The sequence below is a fragment of the Homo sapiens genome, chromosome 8 (assembly GCF_000001405.40).
Source record: "Homo sapiens chromosome 8, GRCh38.p14 Primary Assembly".
Lineage (NCBI taxonomy): Eukaryota > Metazoa > Chordata > Mammalia > Primates > Hominidae > Homo > Homo sapiens.
The window spans coordinates 142,446,984-142,467,347 of NC_000008.11; the positions used below are offsets into that span (position 1 = coordinate 142,446,984).

At 65.4% G+C, this 20,364-nt stretch overlaps 1 protein-coding gene across 17 annotated transcripts in view, besides 6 other annotated features; it reads left to right on the forward strand.

Annotated features, from left to right (window-relative positions):
- The first annotated feature begins 2,665 nt into the window (after nt 1–2,665).
- ADGRB1 (adhesion G protein-coupled receptor B1) overlaps nt 2,666–20,364 on the forward strand; it is a 95,359-nt gene continuing 77,660 nt past the window's right edge. For all 17 annotated transcript variants that reach the window (XM_017013695.2, XM_047422057.1, XM_017013691.2 and 14 more), the window contains exons 1-2: nt 2,666–3,121; nt 16,997–17,999. In XM_017013695.2, the coding sequence (XP_016869184.1) occupies nt 17,216–17,999 (784 nt within the window). In that variant the 5' untranslated portion in view covers nt 2,666–3,121; nt 16,997–17,215. The remainder of the gene's footprint in view (nt 3,122–16,996; nt 18,000–20,364) is intronic.
- Nucleotides 5,649–5,738: a silencer, noted in NCBI's record as "silent region_19597". NCBI's record gives its function as "represses an Ori minimal core promoter by ATAC-STARR-seq in GM12878 lymphoblastoid cells {active_cell/tissue: GM12878}" and the evidence as "EXISTENCE:reporter gene assay evidence [ECO:0000049][PMID:35858748]".
- Nucleotides 5,839–6,078: a silencer, noted in NCBI's record as "silent region_19598". NCBI's record gives its function as "represses an Ori minimal core promoter by ATAC-STARR-seq in GM12878 lymphoblastoid cells {active_cell/tissue: GM12878}" and the evidence as "EXISTENCE:reporter gene assay evidence [ECO:0000049][PMID:35858748]".
- Nucleotides 6,181–7,112: an enhancer, noted in NCBI's record as "H3K27ac-H3K4me1 hESC enhancer chr8:143534525-143535456 (GRCh37/hg19 assembly coordinates)". NCBI's record gives its function as "activates a minimal SCP1, AML or CMV promoter by ChIP-STARR-seq in naive and primed H9 embryonic stem cells {active_cell/tissue: H9 hESC(naive and primed)}" and the evidence as "EXISTENCE:reporter gene assay evidence [ECO:0000049][PMID:30033119]".
- Nucleotides 6,609–6,868: an enhancer, noted in NCBI's record as "active region_28063". NCBI's record gives its function as "activates an Ori minimal core promoter by ATAC-STARR-seq in GM12878 lymphoblastoid cells {active_cell/tissue: GM12878}" and the evidence as "EXISTENCE:reporter gene assay evidence [ECO:0000049][PMID:35858748]".
- Nucleotides 7,113–8,044: an enhancer, noted in NCBI's record as "H3K27ac-H3K4me1 hESC enhancer chr8:143535457-143536388 (GRCh37/hg19 assembly coordinates)". NCBI's record gives its function as "activates a minimal SCP1, AML or CMV promoter by ChIP-STARR-seq in primed H9 embryonic stem cells {active_cell/tissue: H9 hESC(primed)}" and the evidence as "EXISTENCE:reporter gene assay evidence [ECO:0000049][PMID:30033119]".
- Nucleotides 16,693–17,198: an enhancer, noted in NCBI's record as "H3K27ac-H3K4me1 hESC enhancer chr8:143545037-143545542 (GRCh37/hg19 assembly coordinates)". NCBI's record gives its function as "activates a minimal SCP1, AML or CMV promoter by ChIP-STARR-seq in naive H9 embryonic stem cells {active_cell/tissue: H9 hESC(naive)}" and the evidence as "EXISTENCE:reporter gene assay evidence [ECO:0000049][PMID:30033119]".

Below are 20,364 nucleotides of genomic sequence, written 5' to 3' on the forward strand. Positions count from 1 at the left end.
CTCCCAGTGCTGGGCCCACCCTGGGTTCTTCAGGCTGTGGACAGGACCCTGAAAGGAAGCCGATCTGGGCGTGAGACATGCAGTGGCAGGCAGGGAGGGGGGTGAGCAGGTGAGGGGAAGGGAGTTCAGGGTGCACACTGAGGCAAGCCTCCTGAAAGCCAGTCGCCGGTTTAGGTTCTAGAATCCCGGAGTGTCTAGGCTGGAAGATACCTTCAAAGCCATTCAGACACACACGTGCCAACAGGGAGACGGGGCTGAGGTGGGGTGAGCGGGACTGCTTCCGGGCGCCCTGCTGGGAGCTGGTCTCGGTGGGCAGAACTCCTTACGCCTGACCTTCTCCCTCCCTGGGGAGGGGCTGAGGGCTGGGCCGGGGGTGGGAGGTGGAACCCTCTGATTCCTGGATCAGGAGCTGGGCTGAGAGGGCGATTTTCTAAAAGGGGCGAGTTGGGGAGGGAAGCAGAGAAGGCCCCATGCTGGGAGAGGAAAGGCCCTGCCGAGAAGCTGGGCCCAGACGGGAGACCGCATCACCCTGGATGGCCGCATTGGAGAAGGCCCCAGCCCTGAGAACCTGGGGCTGGATTCCCCAGTGGAGGCACCGGGATCGCTGCCACCCTCCGGGCTCCAAGGAGGAAGGCTGAGTCCTGACTCAGAGCTGCTGGCCTCCTGGCCTGACATCAGCCGCCCCCTGGTGGCCATGACTGCTGGTGCAGCGAGGAGACGGCAGGGCATCGCCGCCAGGACTGGGAGGAGGGGGTGCCGCTCCGCAGGGGATCCTCAGAGGCAGCCCGGGCACCCTGCCCTTTTGTCAACAATCCTGTCAAAGCCTTGGAGAAGAAGGCCTTTCCCCCAGGAGGAAGGAGGTGTGACACTGCCCAAGAGGTTGGACCGGGAAGCGGACTGCCCCCGCCCTTTCCTGGCTGCCCTGTGGCCTGTGTCTCTGGGCAACTTCTCACAGTCCCTGTGGACACCCCTAGGAGCCTTGGCCACAGATCAGCCTTGAGGAGGGGACTGATATGGACACAACAGTGTCCGGCGAGCTGTGCGCCATGCCCAGGGGCTCGGTGGGCTTGAGTTCCCTCGTCTCCTGGTGACCTGTGTTGACGGTGGTGACTGCCGTTGAGGGCCATGGGAGGACAGGGTGGGGTGGGTGCTGACATTCAGGTAGGGGTGGTGGTGGTCCTTGTGAATTCGTGTTGGTGGTGGCAGTGGTGGTACCCAGTGGAGACTGGCTGATGGGCTGACAGAAGCAGCCAGGCCGACGGTGGGCCTGGGAAGCAGCAGCAGCGTGACCTGCTGAGATGCTTCAGTGTGCAGAGTGCTGGACATCCACACAAGGGGACTTGCACTCAGAGTGGACCACACGTTGAGAGCTAGGAGAAAAGGGTTGAGGCAGAAGCATCTTGGTGGAGAAGGATCCCGCAGTCACTTCTCCAAGGTCCTTCCTTCTGGGAAGGCTCCCTCTGGGTACCTGTCCAGCGGTCCTGGAAGCAGAAGAGGGGCCGTGGATGATCCAAGGCAGCCGAAGCGGCCATCTCCATCAGCTGATGAAGAACGAAACCTGAATATGGGGCTGGGAGGTCCCCCATGTCATCAAGTCAAAGGAGGGCGGATGGTGACAATGGGAGGAAGTGCCTGGGGACAGCCACCCAGGGTCAGTGGTGGGTTCGACCTCACCTTCAAATCCATCTCCTGGCTCTTTCCCCAGCCACTCCCCTCAACATCTCTCAGCACAGGGTCCATGAGGAAGAACTGGACAAGCCCCCCCGAGCAGTTCAACTGGCCCTACCCAGTCCCCGCCCAGCCCCCACTCTCTGACCCTCTTGGATGGGGTCAGGAGTCTATGCCTCCACTCTCTCTCCTGCCCATCCCCCACTCAGCCCGCTCTCACCCCCATCCATGCCTGGTCCTTGCACCTGCACAGCCTTCAGCCAAGCAGACCTCCACTGGGTGCTGCCCATCCACTTACCCACCTATCCCGTCCATCCTCACCCATCTCTTCCCTCAATCCATCCTCACCCATCTCTTCCCTCAATCCCCATCGTCCTCCCGCCAGCTCTCCAGTCATCCGTCCATCCATCCGTCCACCCCACTTCCATCTACACCCACCAACTCATCCATCCGTCCACCGTCCATCCACCCACGCACCTGCATTGCCTAGGCACAACCCCTCACTTCCTTCCCTCCATTCATCTGTGTGTCCGTCCTGCCGTCCACCATCCATCATCCAGCCAGCCAGTGGGGCCACTCCCCTGCTCCTGGAGAAGGCCGAGAGCAGGAACCCAACTCTTGGCTTCTCTGCTGCGCGGGGCAGGCACCGGGCTCTCCTAGGTGTGCGCGCGTGTGTGCATTTTATCCGCCCCCCCTTATCTCGCTCCCCTCCCCCCACACCCCCGCCCCCCGCTAGCGCTCCCCCTCTAATGTGTGATCTGGAAGCTCTATAAAGCCTGATGTAATCCGTAATGCAGTCTCTGGCTCCCGATTCGGGATCCAGTTTCAGAGAGCGAGAGATTGGGGAGCGCCGGCAGCCGGGTGGGGGGAAGCAGCTCTCGCCTCTCTCCTCCTCCTTCTCCTCGTCCTCGGCCTCCTCCTCCTCCCCGCGCCGCCCCGCCCCCGGCTCGGCTTGGCTCGCCCCCCCCCCCCCCTCGCCAGGAAGGGGAAAAAAGGCGAGAAGAGCCGGGCAGGCGAGAGGAGCGGAGCGGCGGCGGCGGCCGGAGAGGGAGCGGCGGGCGCAGGCGGCGGCGGCGGGCGCGGCGTTGGCGGCGGCCCCGGCGGAGCGAGCGCGGAGCCGGAGAGCCGGGAGCACAGGCGGCCGCGCCGCGTCCTGGCCCGGCCCGGGCCCGCGCGCCAGCATCGTCCGCAGCGCGGGCATCCGGACCCTCCGGGCGCCCGGGGGGCTCCAGCAGGCGCGGGGGAACGGGAGGGGGCCTGCGTGCGCCGGCGGGTGCTCTCCAGGGGGCGTCCCGGCGAGGCCCAGAGCGGGCCGGGGGCGGCGGCGGCTGGAGGAGCCCCCCCCACCTCCGGTCGGGCGCCCGGCTCAGCCGCCGGCGACGCGAGGCGCTCGCGGGGATTTGCAACTCGCCGGATCGAGTCCTCGCCGGCGGGGCCGCTGCTGCTGGGGAAGGTAAGGAAGGCTCCGGCGGGGGGCTGGGGGCGCGGCGGGTGGGGGCGCAGCGAGGGTGGGAGGGGGTCGGGGGAGGGGCGGGCGCCCAGACTTCCTAACTTCGCCGTTTGGGGCTTCGCAGCTCCGAGGTTTTGCGCTCAGAGCTCAGGAGTTTGGACCCCCACCCCCTACCCCCTCAGCCCCCTGCCTTCTCCAGCGGTGGCGATGGAATGTGGCAGGTCCCCGCGAGCCCGCATTGGGCAGGCTGAGGAGGGGGCGACCCTGGACGCAGGAGAGGCTCCTCGGCGCCGCCGCCTCCTCCCCATCCACACACCACAGCCTGGCACCCCTCTTCATCACATGCACAGGGCAGGCTGGGGAGGGCGTTCCCGCTGTACCCCCAGCACACACAGACGCTGGCGGGGGTCTAAGGGAGCCCCCCATGGCCCCCAACAGCCACACATAGACGCAGCAGGCTCCGGAGAGCCCCCGAGCGTGTCCCCCTCCTGCTAATCACGTCCAGGGCCCCCTACAGACATTGTAAGGGCCCGAGACGTCCTCCCCCCACGCACAGAGCTCGGGGCAGGCAGGAGAAAACCCCAGACTCCTTCTCGAAGCCCTCGCTCGTAGAAGCCCTCGCCTGTAGACCTGGCATTGGCAGTGGAGACTCCCTGGAGGTACTCTCCCCCACTTCGGGCGGAGGGCTATTTTTGCGCCCCCCACCCCCACGCGAACGCCTGGCTCTTCCCTCCTTGTCTACCTTTCCACTGGGTCGGACAGGCCGCGCGGATAAGCCGCTCTCAACTTTGGGCCGGCCCTATGCCGTCTCCGCTCCAAGCGCCGAGCACTCCCGGGCGCCGAGCACTCCCGGGTCCGCGTCGCCGGTGAGCAGAGGCCGCCGGCCCTCCACCGTCGCCGCGCTAGCTTGGAGCCGCGCGGAGCTGCCTCGAGGAACGAGCACGGCCCCCGCCCCCTCCTGGGGAGGCTGGGAGCTCTGGACCCGGCCAGGAGCCCTCTCCCTAGGTCCCCGCGGCCCCCTGGGCGAGGTAGAGAGCTCCTCCGGCCTCGGGAGGGGGCGGCGGAGCTGAGAATCACCGCGAAGCGATGCGACCGGGAGGGCTTGACGGAGGCTGCGGCTCCGAGCCCGCGTCCCTCCTCCTGGCCGCGGCGGCTCCTGCTTGGCCACTCCCCGGCAGCCTGAAGAGAACGCCTAATCTGGCACCCCAGCCCCAGGCCGCTGGGCACCTTACCCCTTTCCACTTTTATTTTGGGCTTCTAAGTTTCTTGGAGCGCAGGCGCCTAGGCTGGGACCCGAAGAGCCCTAAGCCAGCCCTCTTTCAGCACCCGTCCCCGCCGCGACCTCCCCGTTCTTCCTCCGGGTCTGGGGCGCAGATTCCTGGGCTGCAACTCCGGAGTAGTTGAAAGGCAGGAAGGCGTGTGGGCGGGTAGGGGGCCTGCACTCCCGCCCCAGAGGAGCCGCTTGTCGTTTGTGTTGGGGAGGGAGCTGGGAGGTCTGCTCTCCCGCTCCATCCTGGGAACCCACGGAGACCCTCGGTACTCTCCCCACAGACACAAACACACGCCCCCTCGGAGCGAGAGCCGCCGCGGGGGAACAGCAGAGGCCGCGCGGGCGGAGGCGGGGGAAAGGGGAGCTGGGTCCCTTTTCTATCTGGGAGGGAGGTGGTATACGGTGTGTGGGGTCTGGGGAGGCGACTGTCACGTCTCCTAGAACCCTCATGCCTTCCACTCGTCTGCGACCCCGGCTGCCGAGGAGGCAACGAGGGAGGTCGAGCCGCTCCCTCCCGTGGGCGGCAGCGAAACTCTGCGCCCGCACGCCGGGGTGCCGCCGAGTCCGGCTTTGAGTACCCAGCAAGGTCAAGCAGGCGAAGGAGGGGGCGGGGGTTCCTGGGCGCGCCCCCGTCCGCGCACAGTCGGGGCCTTGGAAGGGGGTGTGCGCAGCCCGCCGAGTCAGTCCCGCTCGCCTGCCGCCCGCGCCCGGTCCCCGGAGGCGGACGTTGCGCGCGTTCGGGGATCCCGGAGCGCCCGGCGCCCCACGCCCTCCCTTCGGCTCGCTAGCTGCTCCTTGGCGCTGCTTTCAGACTTGTTGCGCCTCGATCTGGGGGGCAGAAGGCTGGCCCGGGAGACCCGGCGGCTGAGGGCCGAGCCGCGAAGCCCAGGGATGCGCCAGAGAGGCGCGCGGCTCCGCGGGTGGGCGCTGCGCTGGGGGGCTCGAGCCTGGGGTTTGCCGCCTCCGATCCCAGGGACGGGCGCTTGTTCCTGCCGGGGTCCCGCGCAGGGGCGGATAGAGGGCGATTCGTCGCCTCGGCCTCAGGCAGCACTCATCCGGATCCCGGGCTAGGGAGGGGGCGCAGCCAAGTTGTGGAGCCCTCGGAGGCCCTTCCCTCTCCCGCAGGCTCCGGCCCCTCTCGGACCTCGGTGGCCGCGTCCGTGAAATGGGGACGCGGGCTCTGCTCTCGGATCCCTTCCAGCCCCCGACCCTCCGCACTTGTCCCGAGATCCAACGTGCCCGGTCCGCAGCGTGCTGGGTCTGCGGCGTCAGGGTGGCCCGAGTCCCGAGACCATCTGCGCTTGCGGACACAGCCGCGGGGCCTGGCATGAAGGGCCCCAGGGAGGGCCTAGCAAGCGCCCGGGGTCCGAGCAGCCTCCTGCGGCGTCCTCCGCCCCCGGTCGGCCCGACCCCGCCTCCGGGAGTGGGTCGTGGGGCGCGGAGCCCGTCCTCCGGGGACGCCGCGGGGCTCCAGGCCCAGGCGGCCGGCGCGGGGCCGCAGTGGCGGAAGGCGGAGGGCCGGCGCGCTGCCGCTGACTGCCGGGAGAGGGCGCCCGCACCGCGCCCGCGCGGCCCTGCCCGCCCCTTCCGTCTCCTCCGCGCCTGGCCCGCGGCTCCGGCCCCATCTTGGGCAGCCCCGGCCGCCACCTCCCTCCCGCCCGCCCGCCCGCCCGCTCGCTCGCTCGCTCGCCGTCCGCTCCCGCCGCCGGGTCCCGTGACGCGCCTCGCGTCTCGGCCGGAGCCCCCCTCGCCGGCCCGGCCCGGTCCCCGTGTGCGGTGCGCTGGCGTGAGCGCGCGTTTGCGTGCTGGTGTCCATGTGTGGCGCGCATGCACGTGCGTGCCCGTCCGGGAGGCTGGGGGCACGTGTGTGCAGGCATGCAGACTTGCACATGTGTGTGCGTGACGGGGGCGGGTCTCGCGCCGGTGTGGCCCCGGATGGCAGGATTTAGTCAAACCCCGTTTTACCGTCGGCTCTGGCTCTGGGCTGCCCCCGGGTCTGCTCTGTGTGCACGGGATGGACCCCTGGGAGGAAAACTCCAACACCTGACCCTCAGCAAAGACCCCGAACCAGGAGGGTATTGTTAACCCCTCCGGGCCCGCGAGCCCACGCCCTCCCTTTGTCCTCTGGAAGCCTCCGGCCTCCCTGGCTGCAGCTGCGCCATCGGCAGAGCTGTGACTTCTGGGTAAACACGCACAGGCCTGGGATCCCCCTGTAGACAGCCGGCGTGCACACAGAGGAAGTGGCACTCACTAGACGCGTGGGTGCCCATGTGAACACCCTCGAACTGGGAGCAGGGCAGGGGGCAGGGGGCAAGGGGGAGGGCGTGGTCCTGTGCAATCCCCCACCCCAAGCACTAAGGCTGCGGGAATATGCAGGAAAAAGCCCCTGACCAGCTCTGCCAAGGAGGCTCTGGGGAGTGCAAGAAGGCAACCTACAGAGGCCTAGAAGTGGGGCTTACCCAGGAGGTGTCCCACGGAAGGGCAGGTGGGTGGGTGATGAAGGGGTCAGAGGTCCGGGCAGAAGGAAGAGCCGGCAGTGCAAAGGCCCTGGGGCAGGGCATTGTGCGGGTGTGAGAAATAGACCAGAGCTGGAGAGGAAGGTGGGAGGCAGGACAGGGGCTGCAGAGGGGTCCGGACCAGACCTGAGCCCTGAAGGTCTTGGCCCATGTTCTGGGAGCTGCTGTCAGGAGCCATAGGAGGGTCTCGAACAGGGTTGGTGGCTTGGCCTGATGGGGATGCCAAAGAGATGGGGCGCCCCATGGGCCGCCAGGTCATAGGGCGCGTCAGGAGGCTGAGTGCACAGCCTGTTGAGTGCCGCTGCCACGCCCACAGCTGCACTGCACAAGACGCAGGCCACATTCATCACAGTGGGCGGGCGGCAGCCAGCCCCGACGCCACCCAAAACCAACACACACCCCGGTGTGAGGTGCAGGCAGACACCCAGAGCAGGCACGCGTGTCCCCACAAAGGCAAGAAACACGGAACACCAGGGTGCCACGGCCCGAAAACCTGTGTCCCATTGTGGGCTCACGAGGACATGGGTCAGCACGAGCACACCGTGAGGTGCACACGGGTGCACACGGCACCCCCGCCCCGCGATGTGTGCCTGTCTACACACGCAGAGGGGAAGGAGCGGAGGTTCAGACCTACAGACCGCACGATCCAGAAGACACAGCCTGGATGTTCATGTCCAGGGATGGGGCAGGGAGGCCCCCGCAGGCAGAGACTGGCAGTGGGACCCAGGGGGTGCTGGCCCTGCGTTCTGCTCTGTGACCTTCATCAGGCCCCAGCGCCTCCTTTCCTCATCTGTGCTCCACTCCTCGGGGTTAAGGTGAGGATCCCCCTTCCCCCGCAAAGCACATGCCACTGAGGAGGCGGCTCCGGACGTCTCCACTCCTGCCCCACCCTCCCTCTCTTCTTTTTTCATACTAACTCATTTCTGTTAATTGAGGAAGCAACAAAAAATAGGATCAGTACCAAAGGACTAGCCTCCTTCCTCCACAGAGCCCTGGTCCTCTTGCCTTCTGCTACCCCGTTACAGGCTCTTGTTCGGGGCTACCCTGCCTGGAGGGACCGGTGGAGACCTCTGCCCCTCCTCCCTCCTTCCCTGCATGGGTTTCACAAACACAAACATGCACACACCCACCCCTTCTGTCCCCTGTCCTGCTCATCGCCAGCCGCAGCACCCTCATATTTGACACCAGCACCCTCACTGCCCCCCTACCATCTCACCCCACCCCATCACCCCCACCACCATTGCCCCCGAGGCTACCTCAGCCGCACCCTGCCGCCGGCACCACACTGCACCATCATTCCTATCTGACCCCACCTCCATCCCCAACACCAAAGCCAACAAACACCTTCCCCCCATCACTCCCACTCGCCTCAGCAGCACCTGGACACCCCTCACAGCCACCTCCCTCAGCATGATCGCTGTCACCTTGGCCCCCACCTTAGGCTCCTGTCCCCTTCACTCGCCCCCATGGCTGTCCTCCTGCTTGTGGCGTTCTGTTCTCTCGGGCATCCCTCTCTGGGGCTTGGTCAGGGGAAGGGCACGACAGAAGTCCTCTCTGCAGCTTCGCTGTCAGGCCCCCAACCACTTGCCTTCCTGGGAGAGGAGCATGCGGCAGGCTGGTCCCCTGCAGCCCACCAGGCAACTGGGCTGTCCCGGCCCAGCACAGCTGAGGTCAGGAGGACCCAGGGATTACTGGGAGCTCAGAGACTGGGGTGGACCTTGAGATGAGACAGAACCTGTGTCCTGGTGCCTGTCCCCCACTCCTCACTCAGCTGTGGGCCAGTTTTGGGGGTGCTGACTCTTGACTGAGACATGTGGTTGAGGGGTCTTTGAAGTAAGAAACGCAGAGGAGCGGCCAGGAGGCTGAGAAGATGGTGCTGGCTGGGCACTGGCCTGGGTGCAAGGCGGGGAAGGAGGCTTCCAAAGCCCACACCCCACCCCCGACCACCGGGCCCTGGGGGCACACGGTTGGTCTTTGGGCCAGCACCTCTCTGAGGCTAAGTTGGCATCTCTGTGACAGGAGGGTGGGTGGCCCTACCTGCCTGTCCCGGAGAGTGCCAGAGCGTCCAGGGTAGCGCCTGTGTAGTGCCAGGGAGGGTAGGGCTGTCCAGGCAAGTCTTGGTGAGGCCCCAGTTCCAGCTCGGGGGTAATGGCCACCCCAGAGGAACGCATTTCAATGGGATTTCAGAGCCCCGGGGAAAAGGAATGCGATTCAGGGAGGAGGAGAAGGGCCCCTGCACTCTGCACCCCCTCCCTGTTCCCCAGCCCCAGAGAGCCTGTCCCTGTGCCCATTCCAGATCTCACGGGCAGCTCCTCCAGAAAGCCTTCCTCTCCACCACAGCGCGCCCACATGCACACATAGACCCGCCTTGCCCCTCGCACACCTGAAAGACGTGTGCAGACCCAATGCTGGCAACTCACTCTGTGCGCACACACTTGCTCACATACACCTGCACACACGCATGTGCACACAGCCCTTGAACAGTGTGCACACACACTTGTAATAACTCACAAAAGGAGCATGCACACACCCTGCACGTGCACACACTTCCTCACCCCCCCGAAGCACACATGCCACGTGCACACTCACGTGTGCGACTCAGCTGGAACACGCACATTCTGTTCCCCACTCGCTCACACACACACACCACTCACACCTGCACAGCTTTCACCTGCACTCACCACACGCACACACGCACACATATGTGCAGCACACACGGCCACAGATGCATCCTCTAGCCCCTCCTTGCACCGAGGCTGCTCACCTACTGGACACACCTACTCTCTCCCTCGGTCTCGCTCCTCCCAAATGCTGGGCCCTGGCTGCAGCTGTTCCTCCCCACTGCCACATAACCATAACACCGCGGCCTGCCCGCCGTGGTGGGGTGGAGGCCTGGGTTGGGGCCTGCTCCCGGGATACAGCCTCCTCTCAGGGGTCCTCGAGCCAGGAGACCAGCCACTTTGGAGTCCAGGCTGAGTGCAGCCTCCTCCTCAGGTCCCCATACTGTTGCTAGGGGCTCACCAGCCTGGTGGGCAGCCCTGCCTTCGAGGGCAACTTCTAGGCAAGGTAGCCCTCCTCACTCTGGCCTCAGACCGGCCCCGGGGTGTGCCTGGAACCTCAGTGCAGCAGGGCGGGGACAGAGGAGCTTCAGCACGGGGAGCATCTTTAGGGCCTGCAGGTGGCTTGGGGTGATGAGCCCTAGACTACGGGAGATGCAGTGAGGCCCGGAACCTGAGGGCCGTTGGAAAGCTGGCCTCTGACGCTGGGCCAAGGTGGTCTGGGACAGTTGGGTAAGATGAGGGGTAACACAGCTCCTATCTTCCCCTGGAGTCACTAGGAGCCGGTCGGTCCCTCTGGGCCTGTATCCACGTCTGGGGAACTGCAGGCTGTGATCACCTTGCCTTCTGCAGGTGGGGGGTCAGATGAAGGTCTGTGTGCCAGGGCAGAGCATGGGGCTGGCCAGAGCGGAGCTTGGCACAGGACAGGGCCCCTTCTGCCTCAGCCCCACAGTGGTCTCTGTAAGAAGGGTCTTTCTCTCCCCGCCAGCAGCTCTGGCCAGATTCTTTGGGCACCCCTGTGCCCAGGCAGCTGGGTGGGGCTGGGCCTGGCAGGCTCTGTGAACATGGTGGGCTCCCACACCCTTGGGGGCGCACCCCCAGGGGGTCCGACCCTGCTGGCAGCCCTGCCCACCCTTAAGAGAGGCTTCCGGGCCTGCCTCTGCTGTGGGTGGCACGTGACCTGGGCTCTCTACGGGCAGGCCTAGCTACCCTGCAGGTTGACCAGTGGGGGTGTGGTTGGCACAAGCTGGGGTAGGACAGGTGGCATCTGGGGGTCACCCTGTCGGGGGGAGGCTATCTCGGCACCCCCTCCTCGACTTGGCTAGTGCCTGACTCTCTGGCCCACTTCTTATGGCTCTGAACCCCTGAGACACGCAAATAAGTTGTCCTGGGCCCATGTCAGGGGCCCTGCCAGGACCTCACAGGTGGGGGACCGTGCTGCCTCTGCTTCCGGTACCAGGCCGCTTGAATGGGGGCCGTGGGCACCCTGAGCGGGGAAGGCCAGCCGTCTGCCTCCCAGCCCCCTGGGCAGTCAGTGCCGAGGGCGCCCACCCCGCCCCTCCCCCCGTGCAGTCTTTTCTCAGGACACACAGGCGGGCACTGTTCAGAGGGCCGGCAGGACAACAGAGTGCCTTTTGTGGCTGGTGTCTGGGGATGCCATTGGTGGCCTAGGGTGGGCGGGGAGGGGACGCAGGAGGCCTGGGCCCAGGGTCGGGTCTGTCCAGTGTGGACTGGACCCAGAGCGGGCATGGGGTGCCGAGCCTCATGGAGGAGCCCCAGTGCCCCTGAGAGAAGGGCCTTGGACAGCATCCACTGCCCCTGGTTGGATGGTGGGGAAACCGAGGTGCAGGGTGTGATTGGAACCCAGGCCTGGTGGCAGGGTGGGGTGCGTGTGTGCAGTCTGCACAGGCCCAGGATGGCGGCGGGAGGCGGGTGCAGTGCCTCTCGTCTGAGGGTGTCTGTGATGGGGGTTACTGCCTTGCCCACCTCATGCAGAAGCTGTGAGATTGAAGGAGGGGTTCGTATATCATCTCAGGCCCGTTGCTGGCCTGCGGTCAGTGTGTAGTGAACGTTGGTGCCCTCTTCCCCACGCTGTGGCTCCCAACTCTGCTTCCCGGCCCAGCGTGGCTAGCTCCTGCTGCCCCACCTCTCTGGGTCCCCTGTCTGCCAGCCCAGGCCCTCACCCTGTCACCTCTGCCCAGAGACCAGTGGCACCCCCCGCCCTCCCTGAGGCCACCTCGCAGAAGCTGGCCAGCCTCCTCTGCAGCAGAAGGGATGGGGGCTAGACACCAGAAAGAACTTCCTGACCACAAGGGCAGTTTGACCCTGGAGAAGGTGATGAGAAAGGCAGGAACCTGTGAGGGCTTTGCTGGTAATTGGTCACTGTCCTTGGGAAGCTGAGGGGCAGTGGGTAACGGGAGCTGCTGTTATCCAGGTCGAGATATGGAAACCAATGACCAGAGAAGTGGCCTGTGGTTCGGGGACCAAGACAATCGCCCACTTCTCTGCAAGAGAGTTGGTGACAGTTTTGCCATTAAACTGTAACACTTAAAGACAGGAGTGGCCAGCGCCCACACTGGTCCCCCAGCAATGGGGGCAACCCATGAGCCTCTCCCACCCTGTCACCTGTTGCCGGGATGCCCGGAGCTTTCTGTCCTCATAGTGGAGGCCTGGCATGGGGTGGGCTCAGGGGTCAGCCCGGCCTCAACCTTCAGGGTCCCTGACTGCTGCATGGAACACGCCTTTGGAGGATGAGGCTGGAAAAGCCTGCTGGGGAAATCAAGGCATCTGACGGAGAAGCACGGAGCATGGATTTTGAGGGACCAGGGCCAGGTCCAACCCCCGGGGCTCCCAGGGGATCCTCCCAACCCAGGGGATCCTCCCAACCGAGGGGACCTGGGAGCTGGTGTGGCCGAGGGGAGGAGGGTGAGCCAGCCCAGGGGAGCCGAGGCCAGAGGTACAGCTGTGCAGATACCACAGCAGCTGCCCCAGGGTGGAGCCATTGTTGGCTCAGGCCTGGACCCCTTTCTCCAAGGCCGTGACTGTGTGTGGTTCTGGCTAAATGCACCCTCTGGGGCACACCCTCCTCTCCCAGCCCCGTCTCTGTCCCCGCTGCCCTCACATCCCAGCAAGTACAGCACGAAGCCCAGGCTGTCCCACAGCCACGTGGCCTTGTACAAATGTGCCGCATGTGTGTGTTCATGCTCACATATGCACACTCACAGGCACACAGGAACACATGCACACACATATGCACGGGCACACACAGGCACACACGTATGCACACATGCATTTGTGCACACATTGACACACATCTGCTTCTCCCCTTCCACATCTCAGCAGAGGCCACCAGCCCCTCCCCCATTTGCTCTCTGGAAGTCTCCTGTGACCCTGTCCACATTGACCTTCCTCCTGGCCCAGACACTACACAGGCCCGCCCCTGCCCCCAGCAGGCAGAGGGACCCACTCATCCTCAGGGCCCCACTCAGGCGCTGACGCCTCCTGGATGCCACCCTGGGTGCCAGGAGGGATCAGGAGTCTCCCCTGCACGCCCCACCCCATCTCAGCTAGACTGTCGGCCAACACTGCAGCCATGTGACCTGGGCTGCAGTGCCCGGCTCGGGCCTGGCGTGGGGGGGACAGGAGCCTGAAGAGATGGTCCCTGGTCACCCCCGGCCTTGGCCAGCTCTCTGCCCGCCTGGGCCTGCCTTGGTGTGAGAAGGCTCCGGGGTGGCCCCGTTGGAGGGTGGCGGGCAGGTGGGGTGCAGGAGACCTCGGCTGGCTCAGGGATGGGTGGGTCTGCTGGGGGCAGGGCAGGGGGTGAGTGTGGCAGGTGGGGAGGCCCGTGCCCACTGGCAGGCTCAGGGGCCATCAGCCAAGACAACGGCCTGGGCTCCTGCCCAGCATTGCCCAGTGGCCCATCCAGAAAAGGCAGGTTTGGGCCAGTTCTGTGGGTCTCAAATTCATATCAGCTGGGCCGGCCTTCCGGCCAATATGGCCTCTCCCAAGGCCTGGGCGGGGAGCAGCTCAGTCCGAGATGTTCTAGGGGATGCTGGGGAGCCGGGAAGTAACCTGAGCCCTCTCTCCCCACACCCCCCTGACTTGCTGATGGCCCCTGTGGTCCCTCCTGTGGAACCCCAGGGCTTCAAGGTTTAAGAATCCCAGGGATGGACACTTCTGGGCCATCTCCTGGCCCCAAGACAGTCTGCCGAGGCCCCAGGTCCCTGCCAGGGCACTGGGCAGTTGCGCTGCCTGGCCCTTAGCCCCTCCTCCCTGAAGGTACCTCCTCCCTCCTCCCTCTCCAGGCCAGAAGTGGGCCGTGTGCACCTTCCATGCCTGGCTGGTCCTGGGGCCTCCCCCTTCCACCTCCTGAGCACTCTCCTTCCCCATGGCCACTCCTGGCCCTCATGCCACTCCCTCGCCATCACCCCAGGGTGACCCCAGCACTGCCAGGGTGGCCCTTCTAAGGGGCGGTTCTGATAGGGGCACTGGCTGCTTCTGATCCCCTCTGCCACCTCTTGCCTACAGGGTGGGCCTCATACCCTAAGAGGGTTCAAGGCGTGGAGTCAGCTGGTGACAATGAGGGGCGACCGGTGATACCAGGGCCCTAGGGGATGCCAGGAGGTCTCCACTCGGCTCAGCTCTCAAGGGCCCGGGGACAGTGGCAGGGGTAGGCCCTCGTCCACCTGCTCTGGGGCCATGCTGGGCCGTGCTGTGCAGAGAGCATGGGCGGTGACCCGCAGGCCTGAGCTGCATTCCAGGCTCAGGTGCCCAGTACCGGCTGTGAGCCTCCACCAAGGCATGGCCCCTCTGTGGACCTCAGCATGCCCATCTGTCAAATGGATCTGTAACAGGGTGCCTCAGTGACAGAGTGCCTGGCACACATCCTATCTCCCTGTGAACCTGGGATGGACTCTTCCGTGTTTTCTCACCAAGCTGGAGCCTGTCCTGGGACACCCCTCCCAGGCCTGCACAGTCCACACGGCGTTGCGGACACCAGCCGCGTCGTGGCCAGCTGGGCTTATGAGGCTGCGCTCCCCTTCCAGGCTGCCAGGCTGTACCAGTTTCCAGGTGGGATGACCGAGGCCCTAGACTCCGTGCCCGGCCGCAGGCCCACAGAGGCTGGTCCTTGTACACCCCAGCTCCTGTGCCTGCTCCTGGCACCGCAGGCCCCTAGAACCTGCCCCGCCCTGGGAATGCTATGGGGTGGAGCTGCCAGGGCCTGGGATGAGGAGGGGAAAGGTGGGCCTTGGCATCTTGAGCTGTGCGGGTCCCTCTGGGGTGAAGGTGGTGCATCTGGGGCTGACACCAACTCGGGGTCAGGGCTAACAGGATTGCCTGGGGCCTCCTTTGCACTTGGAGGGGCATATGGGGCAGTGAGGCTGGCTGACCTGTGGAGGAGTCAAGGCCACGTGGGTTCAGCACCAGGTGGGACTGGCACTCTGCCAGGCTCTGCCGACACTCAGCCAGGACTGGGCTCACCCCGGGACTGTAGCGCAAGGTGAGGCTGGGGAGGCCTTCTGGCTGTGGGACCTGCCCACAGCCGCTCCCTCTCCATGAGATGGTGAGGGGGCGCCCAGGACAGCCCGGCTTTTCCATGCCTTGTCCAAGCCCACCCAGCCAAGCGTGTCTGGGGGCAGGACTGGAGGAGGGCTTCCAGGAGGCAGGGGACATGGCAGCATCTTCCCAGGTCTGCCACGAATGCGCCAGGATGGGAAGATTGTTTTGTAGGTTTGTCCCTTTCTAAAAAAATTTTCTCTTGGGAGCCCGGAATGTTTGCCAGGAATGAGACCACAGAGGGCCAGGTTGGGCCATGTCTGTTCCCAGATCCAGAAGCCCCAGCCAGCTTCCTCCCCCTGCTGGAAGCACTTCCTGCAGCCCCCTGGCTAAAATTCCCCCACCCAGCTCTTAATCTCTTGTTGAGAGCAGTGGGGTGCCCATCCCACTTTACAGATGGAGAAACCGAGGCTTTGTGGTGAGAGATGTGTCCGAGGCCACTGTGCAGTCAGGAGCACAGCCCAAGTCCAGCCTCCGGCCTCCTGGCTCCCATGGGCTCAGAGCCTCTGCTCAGGCTGGGGCCAGACCTCGAGGCTGCCTGGGCCCAGCTCCCTGCTCTGCCTACAAGGCTGTGCAGGAAGGACGCCAGGAGGGGACTGCAGAGCAGTGACCGACCTTGTCTTGCCAGCCAGCTGGGCCTGGGCAGCAGGAAGCGGCAAGTCCCGTGGGCGGGCGACCGGCATTTGTGCGGTCAGCAGAGCGGAGGCATCCCCACCAGGAGGCCGGGTGGCCTGGGGGAGGGGGACTGGCTACAGCTCCCCTCCCTCCTGCACAGGCTCAACTGCTGGGTGGGATGGACGGCCTGGCCAGAGGCCTTGGGGGTGGTGAGGAGACTGAGGTCTGTAGGCAGAAGGAACTTGCCAAGGTCCACAGCGAGGTGGATGCCCGCTGGGCCCAGGGCAGCCCCGGATCCAGGGCCTTCACTGTACCTCTGCTCACCCGTGGCGCTGTGAGTGGGCAGTCACTCAACCTGGGCCCTCTCCTGGAGCTGGGAGGTGTCTCCTGGTGGCACAAATTTAGGGTCAGCCTGGGGCTCACGTATGGGTTCTCCGACCCACTCACTGTGACGGGTAAATTATGGATTCTCTCTGTGTCTCAGTTTTCCCATCATGAATGATAGGAAGTAATGCTAGCCTTGCAGAGGAAGGGCAGAGGTGAGGTGGCTCCTGGTGGCTCCATCCCCCCTCCATCCCTCCCCAGGCCCTGTGCCTGTAGCTTTAGGGCACGAGGGCACACGTGGGAGGGCCGAAAGAGAGCTTCCTGGCAGGAGCACCAGCTGGGCACAGGCTGCTGGAGGCTGCAGAGGGCAGTCTTGGGGGGGCACCAAATCTGAACTCCCCTCACCCCAAAGATCCAGTCATTGCTATTGAGGCTCTGCACCCCCTTCCTGCTCTCCAAGCCTTTAGAAAGGGCTCGGGGGCCAGACGGGAGGCTGGGGAATGGCCCGAGTAACCTTTCTCCTGTGCTCCGGGCCCACTTCCCTTCCCACGGGGTTTGCAGAATCTTCCTGGGAAGGAGGAAGGTTAGAGAGGAGGGACCAAGGTCAGCAGGAAAGACAGAGCCTGAGAGAGCTACACCCTCCACTCACAGAGGGGCAGCCACGCAGAGCGTGGTGAGCGAGTGGGCAGGCAGGCCAGGGCCCCCGGGAGCCACGCCAGGCTGCGTGGGCAAAGGGGTACCACCAAAAGCCCCAGGTGGACTGCCAGCCCCTCCCTGCTCAGGCTTGGGTGGAGGCGGAGGTACTTTGTTCCCCAAGCTGGGCCGCTGCCCCTGCAGGTGGTCACATTGGTGAGTGGCAGACAGACAGGTGGACGGAGCAGGTGCCTGGGAGGGTGCCAGGGCCTGTGTCTGCGGCCCAAAGTCCTCCTGCCCTCGTTGGTAGCAGGCTAAGCTGCCTCCTCTGAGAGAGCCCACCCCCATGCCCAGAGCCCACGTCTCCCCAAGTGCTCACTCTGACCCTCTGCTCTTTCTCTTCCAGCTGCTGCTGGTGGCCACAGGCTGGCACCAGGGCCCTGGACTTTAGAAGCCGTTGCTGCCCTCTCTGTCACCTGAAGCGGGGCCCTCTCCCATCCCACCCTTGCCCCGCCTCCCTGCCCCCACCGGGCCGGCCCTGCCCGCCGCCGGACCCTGGCATGTCAAGACCTGGTCCGCGCCTGCCTGCCCAGCCCGCGGAACCCCGGCGGCCCCGCGAGCTAGGATGAGGGGCCAGGCCGCCGCCCCGGGCCCCGTCTGGATCCTCGCCCCGCTGCTACTGCTGCTGCTGCTGCTGGGACGCCGCGCGCGGGCGGCCGCCGGAGCAGACGCGGGGCCCGGGCCCGAGCCGTGCGCCACGCTGGTGCAGGGAAAGTTCTTCGGCTACTTCTCCGCGGCCGCCGTGTTCCCGGCCAACGCCTCGCGCTGCTCCTGGACGCTACGCAACCCGGACCCGCGGCGCTACACTCTCTACATGAAGGTGGCCAAGGCGCCCGTGCCCTGCAGCGGCCCCGGCCGCGTGCGCACCTACCAGTTCGACTCCTTCCTCGAGTCCACGCGCACCTACCTGGGCGTGGAGAGCTTCGACGAGGTGCTGCGGCTCTGCGACCCCTCCGCACCCCTGGCCTTCCTGCAGGCCAGCAAGCAGTTCCTGCAGATGCGGCGCCAGCAGCCGCCCCAGCACGACGGGCTCCGGCCCCGGGCCGGGCCGCCGGGCCCCACCGACGACTTCTCCGTGGAGTACCTGGTGGTGGGGAACCGCAACCCCAGCCGTGCCGCCTGCCAGATGCTGTGCCGCTGGCTGGACGCGTGTCTGGCCGGTAGTCGCAGCTCGCACCCCTGCGGGATCATGCAGACCCCCTGCGCCTGCCTGGGCGGCGAGGCGGGCGGCCCTGCCGCGGGACCCCTGGCCCCCCGCGGGGATGTCTGCTTGAGAGATGCGGTGGCTGGTGGCCCTGAAAACTGCCTCACCAGCCTGACCCAGGACCGGGGCGGGCACGGCGCCACAGGTGAGTGACTGGCGGGGAAACCTTCGGACAGGGGAGGTGGGCAGACAGGGGAGGCGGGCAGACAGGGGAGGCGGGCGGATGGGGGAAGTGGGCGGACAGAGGAGGTGGGCGGGCAGGCGGAGGTGGGTGGGTAGGGGAGGTGGACCGGGGTCTTCTTCCGCAGGGCTGCCCTGCTAGCACCGCTGTCTGGAGAGTGTGTACCCTGGCACCCTCCCAGGCGCCTGCTCCATCCACCCGTGCACAGAGTAAGAGTGAAGGTCACTGCAGGTGTGCAGGGCCAGCCCGGGCACACGGCGGGTGCTGGTTGAGCATTGAAGGCCTAATTCCCTCCAGGATGGGAAAGGGTCATCCTCCTGGCTGGGAGAGGGCCCGCCCTTTCTCTCCGGCAGGACAACTTTAATGGGCCAGAGGCTGCAGCGGCCTGGGGCTGGGGACTGCAGGAGCCTCTGGGGCTGGATGATGGTCCTGGGGACTCGGGCTGCGTGGAAGGGTCGGCAGGTGGGCTCTGTGGAGACGTGGTCAGATGAGGTTTCGGGTTGAGTATGCTCTCGGTGGATGAATCACCTCTGCCACACGCTCTAGGTGCTGGGGCCACGGCTGCAGCAGTGAAAACCCTCCAGAGCCCTGCTCTCAGGCAGCTGCGTAAGGGAGAGAGGAAGGCCCTAAGCACGAAGACACGAGCAGCCAGGCCTCAGGCAGCAATGAGAGCCTTGCACTAGAACCGGGCAGGGCTGGCCCCTCATGGCAGGGTTGCCATTGTACCTGGAGGTCAGGGAGGCTGCGAGGACGAGGGACCTTGTTCAAAGCTCTGCGAGAGGTGGGGGAACCTCATGCCAGGAAGAGAGAACGGCAAGTGGCGAGTCCTGGGTGGCTTTGTGCCCGGAGAGCACAGAGGGGCAGGGGCCAGTCCTGTGGGGCTGCCAGCCTCTGGGACACTGGCTTTTCCTGCTCATGAGACAGGAGCGTGCGCAGGAGCAGCGTCCTCGGGGTAGAGCCCTGTGGAGGCCCCGTGGGCCTCAGTGCAGGAGATGGGTCCCGTACACACCTAGGGCATGGAGACCCCTTGCTGACGGGTGACGTGCAAGAAAGAGAAGGAAGCCCAGGGTTTTGGTGTTAGCATCTGGGAAGATTGGGGGATTGGAGGGGTTTGAGTTTGCAATGCCAGGCAGGGGCTGACTGCATACATCGGGTGTTCGGGGGTGAGGCTGGGCTGTATACTCAAGGCTGGAGGGCCATCTTGGGGCAATGGGACCCTTAGGGGTACCCAGGGGCCTTGACTTTTCTGGGGCCAGTGAAGCCTATGGACTCCTCAGAATTTTGTGTTTAAAGGCACAAAATAGGCTACGCAGGGCTACAGAGGAAGCCATTTATGCTGGAGCATGGTTCTACCCACAACACGGGGCCATGGATCCCAGATAAGAAGCCTCTGTGAGGCCGTGAGTGGGGCTAGAGAGGGGCCAGAGGAAGGAGGGACAGGCGTGAGGCTTGGCCCAGCCCTCCAGTGGCCCGAGGAGGAGGGAGGCAGCGCCCCTGGGCAGTGGGGGGCCAGGAAGCCAAGTGGTCATGCTGTGTCAGGACAGGTGGGCACCTCAGCTGCGTCAGGTGCCGCCAGCGGCTGGGTGGGAGGGGCTGAGGACCAAGCCCCCACCAGGCAGAGTGGAGGTCACTGTGGCCTTGGTGAGGGCGGCTTCTGTGGTGTGGCAGGGATGAGTGTCAGGGGGACTGGGGAGAGAACGAAGTAGATATGGAGGGCTCTTTCAGGGAGTAGAGATGGGGTGGTGGACGGTTTGGGAGGTGGGAGGCTGCAGGAGGACTGGGCCCAGCGGTCACAGGCACACCTGGCCGTGCATCTTGGTCTGCCACTCCTGGTCACTTCACCCCTCAGAGCCTTGGTTCCTTCCTTGGCAGAATACCAACTCCTTTGCAGAGCGTTTTCCTCCAGTTGATGGGTCTCAGGGGCCCGGCCCAAGATTACACCCACTACTGAAGAGCTGGTCGTTAGCAGCATCAGGGGGCAGCAGCTCTGCCATTCCTAATAGTGCTCGGAACAGCGTGGAGCTTGTTGGAAAGAGCTGGCGGGACAGACGCATGTGACGCGTGGAGAGGCTGGGGCACTGTGTGACGTGGGTGTCGGAGGGAGCGCTGAGCTTCACTCCTCACTGGGCACCTACTGAGTGCAGGCACCCTATGGTGTAAGGTGGTCGGGCCTCCCGTGGGAGATCCCACGTTATCTTGGGAACCCAAGGGCCTTAGCAGGGCTTTGGGCAGAAGAGCCAGATGGTTGGGCTGTGAGTGCAGAAGAGATGTCAGCCCTGAGGGGAAGCCTGGGACGGGCTGGCAGCCGGTGCCGGCATTCAGGAGGGGA